Source organism: Homo sapiens, chromosome 8 (assembly GCF_000001405.40).
Source record: "Homo sapiens chromosome 8, GRCh38.p14 Primary Assembly".
In the NCBI taxonomy this organism is placed as follows: Eukaryota; Metazoa; Chordata; class Mammalia; order Primates; family Hominidae; genus Homo; species Homo sapiens.
The window spans coordinates 6,780,604-6,790,656 of NC_000008.11; the positions used below are offsets into that span (position 1 = coordinate 6,780,604).

Here is a 10,053-nt window from a genome sequence, read left to right on the forward strand (position 1 = left end):
GAGACAGGTGGTGGCTGCACGTAGGGAGGAGCCCGTTGGGGAGGAAAAATGGCCCCGACTGGTAAATGTGGGTGTTTGGAGTATTGTTTGTTATCATCGATCTCACTCTCTGCCAGGGCACACACTTTGTGTCAGTGAGTCATTGTGTCAATATAAAAGATTACCCATGGTTGGGTAATTTATAAAGAAAAGAGGCTTCGTTGGCTCACAGATCTGCAGGCTCTACAGGAAGTGTGGCGCCAGCATCCGCCTGGCTTCTGGTGAGGCCTCAGGAAGCCTCCAATCATGGCGGAAGGCAAGCGGAGCTGGCGCTTCACATGGTGAGAGAGGGAGTAAGTGCGGGAGGGGTCCCTTTTAAACAGCCAGATGTCGCCTGAACTCAGAGTGACAACTCACTCACTATCACAAAGACGGCATCAAGCCACCCATGAGTGATCTGCCCCGACGACCGAAACACCTCTCCCCAAGCCTCACCTCCAACATTGGGGATCACATTTCAACATGAGGCTTGGAGGGGACACACATCTGTACCATGTCACACTTCCCCAATCTCACAGCCCAGGAATTTGGGTCAGTCCTTCCCATCGATCTATGACTGTCTTTTGCATGACTGGGGGCTTTCTGAGGAGAAAGGGATGTCCCCCCAACAAATGGCTTAGATGGAGCCGACACATGGTGGGGGAATCGGTTTTTGCTCCTCGCAAAAACAGGTATTTCTGCTTTCTCTTTGGGCACCCAAGGAAAGATATTTGCTGCAAACACAAACCAAAAAGACGGTGTCCAAGAGCTGCAGAGAAGGGGCATCACAGCACCCCAAGCCTTTGAGTCCTGTGGTGTTTGGGGATTTCAGAAGCCACAGACATGGAGAAAATGTCCCACATGACTCTCTTTCCAGTCATTCCTTTGCTTTCACAGGATGAGAAATAATGCTCCTGAATGCACATGGCAAGGTCTGAAGAAGGTCTTGGGAAGAAATGTGCTGTGGAATGTTATTAAAACGTGGTTTGAGCCCACGTCTCTATGGATATGCATAGTCCCACATATGAACATGATGCTTAGATCATTATTCTTGGGCTTACTATTAATAGTAAAGTGTGTCCATTTCCAGGTTGATCGAAGCTGGCAGAGGATAGAAGAGCTCTGTGGCCGAGTGAGCTGTTTCTGGAGCCAGATGAGTCTTTGGCAGAGCCTGAGGTCCCCTGCTACTACTGGGTGAGTCTCTCTGAGCCTTGGTTTTCTTATTTGCAAAATGTGAGACGGTAACAGTCCTTTTCCTGTGGCTTGTTGGAAAAATCAAGTGAAAGAGTGTATCATGTCTGGCACATCGTGTGCTAAATAAAGTTTGCAATTATTATCTGAAGACAATAGAACTCACTCAAAGAAGTCCCAGGAAATCAATGTAGATTTTTTTTTAACTTTAAGACCTGGATACATGTGCAGAATGTGCAGGTTTGTTACATAGGTATACATGTGCCATGGCGGTTTGCTGCACCCATCAACCCATCATCTAGGTTTTAAGCCCTGCATGCATTAGGTATTTGTCCCAGTGCTCTCTCTCTCGTTGTCCTCCAACCCTCAAGAGGCCCCAGTGTGTGATGAATCAAAACCACAGTGAGATATCATCTCATGTCAGTCAGAATAGCGATTATTAAAGTCAGGAAACAATAGATGCTGGCGAGGCTGTGGAGAAATAGGAACACTTTTACACTGTTGGTGGGAGTGTAAATTGGTTCAACCATTGTGGAAGTCAATGTGGTGATTCCTCAAGGATCTAGAACCAGAAATACCATTTGACCAGCAATGTCATTATTGGGTATATGCCCAATGTAAATTTTTAACAGGGAGGTTTTTTCGTCGAAAACTATCAACTTTAGGCTAAAAGCAAGAATTGTTTTATTTTTCTTTTTTTGGCTCAGTTTTTCATTAGAAAAGAAACCTCCCCAAATGTAAGGAAGCAAATGAATGAAAGGAAAATTACAACTGTGGGGAGTCATTACATTGGAAGGCCTCTCTTGGGACAGCGTGAAATAGAATTGCTCCATTGCTGCAGCCACGAAACCATTAGAGAATGCCCCTCCCGGGACCGGACAAACTGATGCAGGCTAATTTTCCATGGGTGATGTCTGCATAGCTGCGGGGATGGGTCCTATTGGCCTCTGAGGCCTGTGTTTAAGTGACTGCTGTCTTTCCACTTGGAAAATCCCATTTGAATATGGGAATCACGGCCATGGAATCCTTCACATCTCGTGATGGTCAGGCGCACTTCCTATTTCATTGCCCTGAAGTCCCAGCGGCAAAAGGCATTGACCTGTTGAAAACATGAAGGTCAGTCTGATATAACCAGAGCTTTTCTGAACCCCAGCCACTGGAAAACCTTGCTGGTACGATACCCATCCATTACCATTACTGGTACTACGGCTCCAGGAATGAACAGAATTTAGCCTTTGCATGGGCAACATGGCTCAAAGAGCCCTGGATTCAGGGTCAGAAAACCTGGTTTTAAATCCTGTTTTACAGACTGTGTGATCTGCAGAAAGTTCTTCTTTCTCACCTCCATGCATTTTTATATAAAATGGGGTAATAAAAATATCTAGGGGGTTACAAGTAAGGAAAAAAGGTATATGAAGTTTTGTTGTACAATGCTTATGTATATATGGATGCATAATGTATATATACATACATATATACACATTAAGCATTGTACAACTGATATAAAATATATTATGTCTGTCTCCAGAGGACAACGTAGGTCACTAGCAAGATGGGAGAACGTGATTCGGCCAGTCCAGCTAGCATTCATTTTCTCAAACAGATTTTAAAAACTGCTATTGCCTTCTGAGGCTTTAACTTCTTCATTCTAACAGAGTCTATTATTGTTAGGATGAAATAATTCTTCAATTATTGAACAATGACAAACCATTGCCTCCCACTAATCTACCTTTGTGGAGTTTCATCCATGCAACGAACAATTATTTACCAAACTCTTTTGTTTTTTTTTTTTTTTTTTTTTTTTGAGACGGAGTCTGGCTCTGTCACCCAGGCTGGAGTGCAGTGGCTCGATCTCAGCTCACTGCAAGCTCTGCCTCCTGAGTTCACGCCGTTCTCCTGCCTCAGCCTCCCAAGTAGCTGGGACTACAGGTGCCCGCCACCACACCCGGCTAATTTTTTGTAGTTTTAGTAGCGGTGGGGTTTCACTGTGTTAGCCAGGATGGTCTCGATCTCCTGACCTCGTGATCCGCCCGCCCAGGCCTCCTAAACTGCTGGGATTACAGGCGTGACCACAACTCCCGGCCTTACCAAACTCTTTCTTATGTGTTCCATGCCATGCTAGTTTATTATAAATCAGACACAGCCCCTGCTCTTGAGGGGCTTACTTGTTTAAGTCACTGAGCACACAGGCAAATCTCTTATGATGAATTGCCGTGAGCGCCAGGAGCAAAACAGAACACAGAATGGAGAAGACGCACTGAACTCCCGCCTCAGCCCTTTCTCCTGGTGGGCTTGTCCCCCTCCCCACTCAGCCACTCATGCTAGTGGTTAAAGCCTGATCTTATTACTGTAATAAATGCAATCGTTCCAAATCCCAATGTCCAATATCCCACTGTCAAGCTTCTTTCTCTCCAGCTCACTCCTGCTACCACCCTGCTTTCAACAATCCTTCAACATTTGGGGACCTGCAGTGGGTTGGCCTCAGCTCCTTTTCACTCTTCCTCACCCTTTGACTTCCTCCCTTCTGACTCGGCTTAAATCCCATAGCAGCCACTCAGGTTGCTGCTTCGAATTCCTCTCCAGTGCCCTGTAGCGCAGCAGTCAGGTCCCCACGTAAATGCACCCTCCACTCAGCACCTGCTTAACCCCACAAGGCTGGGGCACATTGCACAGCCATGGTGACCAGTTCCCCATAAGGTCTCGATCATTAAACCCCGGAGGCCCCTGAGCCAGCCCAGAAACCATGTTAGATGCTCCTGGTCCAGTCACTGCCCCCTCTCCCAGGACGTGCTCCTCAAACTGGTCTAGCACCTCCTCCACCATCATCCCACTCAGCTGACACCCTCGAATTTTGCTTCATTGAAAAAAGAAAACTGTAATTACTAGTCAGGGTTCTCCAGAAAAACAGATTTATTATGGGAATTGGTTCATATGGAGGCCCACGATTTGCGAGCTGAAAACACAGGAAAGCTGGTGGTATCATTTAGTCCAAGTCTGAAGGTCAGAGAAACAGGAGCTCCAGTGTTCAAGGAATGGAGCAGGTTGATGTCCCAGCTCAAGAAGAGAGAGGACTCCCCCTTCCTTTGATTTTTGTTCTATCCCTGCCCTCAGTGGATTGGATGCTCGTCCACATTGGTGAGAGTGGATGTTCTTTCCTGAGTCTCTAAATCTGAATGCCCATCTCCACTGCAAACGCCCACACAGACACACCCAGAAAGAAAGTTCTACCAGCTATCTGGACTCCCATAGCCCAGTCAAGTTGACCCAGAAAATGAACCATCCCATGGGAGCAATCCAAGAGGAACTTCCACACCACCATCCACTCCTTTGTTCCTCTTCCTGCATGTGTCTCACTGTGTTGGAGACAGAGTCTTGCTCTGTTGCCCAGGCTGGAGTGCAGTGGCACGATCTCAGCTCACTGCAACCTCTGCCTCCCGGGTTCAAGAAATTCTCGTGCCTCAGCCTCCCGAGTAGCTAGGATTACAGGCACCTGCTACCATGCCTGGCTGATTTTTGTATTTTTAGTAGAGACAGGGTTTCACCATGTTGGCCAGGCTGGTCTCAAACTCCTGACCTCAAGTGATCCAACCGCCTCGGCTTCCCAAAGTGCTGGGATTACAGGCGTGAGCCACCGTTCCCCGCCTACCTTCCTATGTTTAGAGGGACAGGGGGATAGAGGTTCCCCAGATTGGTCTCAAACTCCTGGGCTCATGTGATCCTCCCACCTTGGCTTCTCCACGTGCTGGGATTACACGTAAGAGCCAGTGCACCTGTTCTATCCAACTTCTTTCCTGCATCTGTGGATGACCTTTTTGTGCTGGCCACACCAAGCCCTCCCTGTGTGTGCTATCCCCTCTCATCTGCATAGGGGCACTGTGGAGCACTTTGCTCTTCCGCACCAATGCAGTACAGAAACCCTGCCTGAGCCCAGAGGAACCAGGAGAATGGACATCCATAGAATTACTAAGCAGCTCCTCATAGTTTTAAAATTTATCTCCTTAATTGAATTTTTGTGTTAAAATGAAGCCAATGAATAAACTTGGCAAATCTTTTGAAGACTTTTAGCAAATCAGTATGATAATTTAAGTGTTATTTTCAATGTTTTATACACCGTATTTAAATATATCATCTTTGAATTATGTCAAATTTGTTTACATATTTGAATAAATGTGTCTATATGATAGTACTAATCAGGTGGGCTAGGTATGTTATGGTGGCAAACAAAAAACTCCCCCAAAAAACACAAAATCTCAGGAATTAGGAAAAAAAAAGGGTTAGCGGGTGTGGTGGTGCATGTCTCTAGTTTCCAACTTCTCTGGAGGCTGAGGTGGGAGGATCACCTGAGCCTGGGAGGTCAAGGCTGCAGTGAGTCATGACTGTGCCACTGCACTCCAGCCTGGGCAACAGAGCAAGACTCTGTCTCAGAAAATGAACAAAAAAGGCTTTTTGATCTTTGTTTTTGTTGGTTTGCTACAGCTACCAGGCCAGAGGGGCTGGCAAGGTATCCCTAAGGATTATTACAACCTTTAGGGACCCACATTTAAGGAAGCCCATTGCAACATGTACTCCCAAGGTGGCTGTCCCAGGAAAAGGAAAGGTAGCAAAGACTCTCAAAACTGCCCCCAGAGGCAATGTGCAGCCTTGGCTTTCACATGCCATTGGTCAAAGCAAGTCCCATGGCCAGGCCTAACTTCAAAGGGGACAGAAAGTACAATAATTCCATGTAATATTTGTGAAAGGCCCTAATGGCATCATAATGAGAATGGATCCCATTACTAGCACTTTTATAAAACGTGTATCAACATTTTATGTTTTAGGGTGCAGATGCTCAAATCTTTGTTTTACATCCTGATTCTCCAATTTGCCAAATACTATCACCTTACTCTACCGTCTTTGTTAGGAACATTGCTAACACCATCTGCATAATTGGCACCCTTTCCTGGTATGGGAGAAGCACAGTTGACAGCCAGTGTTTTGGTGGCAAGAGGTGATTTGTGTGTGCATTTGGGTTCGGCAAGTGCTTCGTCCTAGGTGGGGAGGATTCCTGAGCACAGTCAAAAGATCAGCAAAGCGTGGCCGGGGAAATGCGGGGGACTTTGGAGAGGAGAGTGAGTGCAGGGTCTGTAGTGGGTAAAGGAACCCTTGAAAAGGTGTCTGGGAGATGAGGCACCCCAGAAGCAGCCTTAGGAGATGCTTGGGTGGGGTGGGGGAGTAGATAGGAGCACCAGGCTGGACAGAGCCCATTCCACGCCTGCTTCTGCCAACTGCCAGTCTGGGATGCTGGGTGAATCCCTCAGTTTTCTTTTTTTCTTTTTTATTTTTTTTGAGATGGAGTCTCGCACTGTCTCCCAGGCTGGAGTGCAGTGGTGTGATCTTGGCTCACTGCAAGCTCCGCCTCCCAGGTTCACGCCATTCTCCTGCCTCAGCCTCCCGAGTAGCTGGGACTACAGGCGCCCGCCACTACGCCGGGCTAATTTTTTGTATTTTTAGTAGAGACGAGGTTTCACTGTGTTAGCCAGATGGTCTTGATCTCCTGACCTCGTGATCCACCCACCTCAGCCTCCCAAAGTGCTGGGATTACAGGCATGAGCCACCGTCCCCGGCTGAATCCCTCAGTTTTCTAAAGTGCAGTTTTGTTATCTGTAAAATGGAAATAATAAGAGCAATGCAAGGATTAGATTGAGCTGATGCGCGTGATACCCTTAGCACAGCACCTGGCTCAATCAATGACAGCCACGATTGGATCAGATTCTGCTTGCTTACAGTCAGCCGTATAATTAACCCTCCTCCCTCCACTTGCCACCCTCCACCAAAAACCCAGAGCTAATATTAAGAAGCTTTGATAGTTCTAATCTGCTCTTCCCTTCCTCCAAGGGGATAAATAAGCTCTCCACTGGCTTTAAGCCAACAGCCACCCACACCTTGACCGCATGAAGTTTCTCCTTGTCTGCCTCCCCAAGCACGAAACAGGCACCATTTGATGTGTTTTCACTGTTCCAATTTTCCATTTTCCAGGCCAAGACGAATTGACAGAACTTCCAAAACACTTTGCAAAGACAGCGAGTGCACAAAGCTGCAGCTCACAGCCTTGTCCCGTGGCCGGGAGACAGGATGCATGCTGAGCTGCTGGGAGGAGGGACAGGAGGAAAAGTGCCTGCAGCTGCAGGAGCACCCACTTGAGATGCCTCCTGTGTTCAATCAAGTTCAGAGTAATTGCTTCCTCACTCCTCCTGGCAAAACTGTTCAACTTGGCACAGTGACAGCTCCTTGTAGAGTTTTTCCAGCTGATGTCATTCTTCCTAAGGTCTGCTAGGGTCCCAGCTAACACGACTGTGTTGCACTGGCATCCAGACCTCCACCAGGAGCAATTCAAAGGCCTATTTTTGTGAATATGTGGCAAAGATCCCAGGCTCCATGGAGGCCTTTTGCACTGGGGACATGGTGGAAAATTAAGCCCCAGAGGTAACTACCTACCTGAACGGCATGAGACCAGCTGATTAGATGACAGAATGGGCAGATCCGTGGAAGGGATTGAGTGAGCACTAACATCGAGCATTCTTATAAACTAAGTGAGACTGCAAGAGTCAGGGGCCACTGTGCACAATTGTGTGAGCTGTGTTTTGCAGCAGGTGTCTGGGGAGCTCAAATCCACCCACAAAGGGAAGCCTTTCTGACTTGTACAAAGGGCCATAAGTGGTGGCTCGAACCTGAGGCTCTACCATGCAGTGAGTGTGGAGATGTGGAGATGGGTACACAGGAATGGACAATCTAGAGAGGGGAAGAGACTAACATCCAGCAGCACGTTAACTGTGAAAGCAAACTAAATATGGCCTGAGAAGGACTCCATACTTCTATATTTGAGTCCTCGCGGATGGACTGTAACCTAGCTTAATAGGCGGACAAAATTGCAAACATAACCTGGTAGTATGCACCTCCAACAATAGCTAAGTCTTGGCCAACCCCAGTGGCCATACTCAACCAACCATACACTGCTGAGTGTTCAAATTAGGCATACGCCAAGCAGTAACCAATCCAGCTGTTTTATACTTCACTTCTAATTTCTGTACATCATTCCCCCCCCCCCACCTTTTTTTGTCTATAAATCTTCTCCACCTGGCTGTGCTGGAGTCTCTGTGAACCTGCTGTGATTCTGGGGGCTGCCCAATTCTCAAATCGATCATTGCTCAATTAAACTTTAAATTTAATTCAGCTGAAGTTTCTCTTGCATCAACTGCTATAGTATTTCAGTTTAGTTTCTTTCTCTTTTCTTGAAACTAATATGTACTTAGAGTCTAGTATGGCAAATGCCACGGTGGGCATTTTACTTATATAATCTGAAAACTGCTTATGAGCTCCCTGCAAGACAGATGCTAGCATCCGGCCCACTGTATGGAGGGGGAGACGGAGCCACGGATCCCTGACCAGAGGTAGGTGCTCAAGCAGCAGGCCTGCTCGACTTGAAATCACGGGTTTTCCTTCACATTGACTGCTCTGTCCTTCTTGAAGGACTGCTCAATGATGCATTTTATTTTCCACCTGCATTCATAGATATTATGTAAATTTTCAAAATAGTATCTTTCTGTGAAATGGCAAAAGCATGATGAAAAAGTACCTTGAAAGTGGCTAAGTCTTACAAATATGGCATTTTAAATAACATCATTAGACACTATTGCACAAAGTGCTATAGTTATCTCTCATTACGATGCAGTGAACAGGTCCTAAAGTTGCTTTTTCCCTTTTCTGCACAAGGACCAACTTGGAGATATTTGGGAAAGAAAAGAAAGAAAAAGATTTCTCTGACTAGCTTCTCCCGACACAGGCTAGCCACGTGTTATGCCATTAGTACCTGTGCTACATCCAGACAGAAGTCACTCTTGTGAAAAGAGGATTCGGTTTTTTAAAAAATGTGCTACTGATTCGGTGAGCAGAAGAATCTTGACGCTAATTGTCAAGTAGATTCTACTGTATCCAGTGTCTGGCACAAAACCCAACAGGGGTGCTTTAACTCAAGAATTCCTTTAGAAGGAGGCTAAAGAATTTGATGAGGGGCCAGGTGCAGTGGCTCACACCTGTAATCTCAGCACTTTGGGAGGACGAGGCGGAGGGTGGTGGCGGCGGGTGGGGGACGGGGATCACCTGATATCGGGAGTTCGAGACCAGCTTGGTCAACATGGTGAAACGCTTTCTCTACTAAAAATACAAAAATTAGGCAGGTGTGGTGCCATGAACCTGTAATCCCAGCTACTCAGGAGGCTGAGGCAGGAGAACTGCATGAACCTGGGAGGTGGAGATTGCAGTGAGCCAAGATCACACCACTGCACTCCAGCCTGGGTAGCAGAGTGAGACTCCATCTCAAAAAAAAAAAAAAAAGAATTTGAAGAGGATTAGTGAATCTGTCCTCTAAAAAGAAAAGTAGATATTGTTTAAAGGAAATTATGAAAATATTTACATGTGGCAAACTAATAATTGGATAGTAAATCATTTAAAAATCTCTTGCCTCTACTGTTTCTCCTACTATTCAAGGAGCAAGGAGTCTTTCTGTAGTCTCTGATTTCGCAGTTATTGCAGAAATGGCCAGGTGCGGTGGCTCACACGTGTAATTCCACCTGCTTGGGAGGCTGAGGTGGGAGAATCACTTGACCCAAGAGTTCAAGACCAGCTTAAGCAAGATAGTTAGATCCCAAGTTTCATAAAAAAAGAAAATAAAAATTATTGCCAAAATGCTACAAGATATTGCTTGAGCTTGGCTTTGAATATCAACAGCAAAGCCTAGAAAATGAACCACAGAGAACTGGCACCACGCCTTGGATTGCAGAGAAGAAGCGATGATATCGATGGCCTCAC

At 46.3% G+C, this 10,053-nt stretch overlaps 1 protein-coding gene across 1 annotated transcript; it reads left to right on the plus strand.

Moving 5' to 3' along the window:
* Window positions 1–264: 264 nt before the first annotated feature.
* LOC124901872 (uncharacterized) lies at window positions 265–8,418 on the plus strand. The gene is made up of 3 exons (XM_047422507.1): window positions 265–320; window positions 1,109–1,212; window positions 7,225–8,418. Exons 1-3 carry the CDS (start codon window positions 318–320, stop codon window positions 7,520–7,522), a joined length of 405 nt encoding a protein of 134 aa, XP_047278463.1. The 5' UTR covers window positions 265–317; the 3' UTR covers window positions 7,523–8,418.
* Window positions 8,419–10,053: the final 1,635 nt, after the last annotated feature.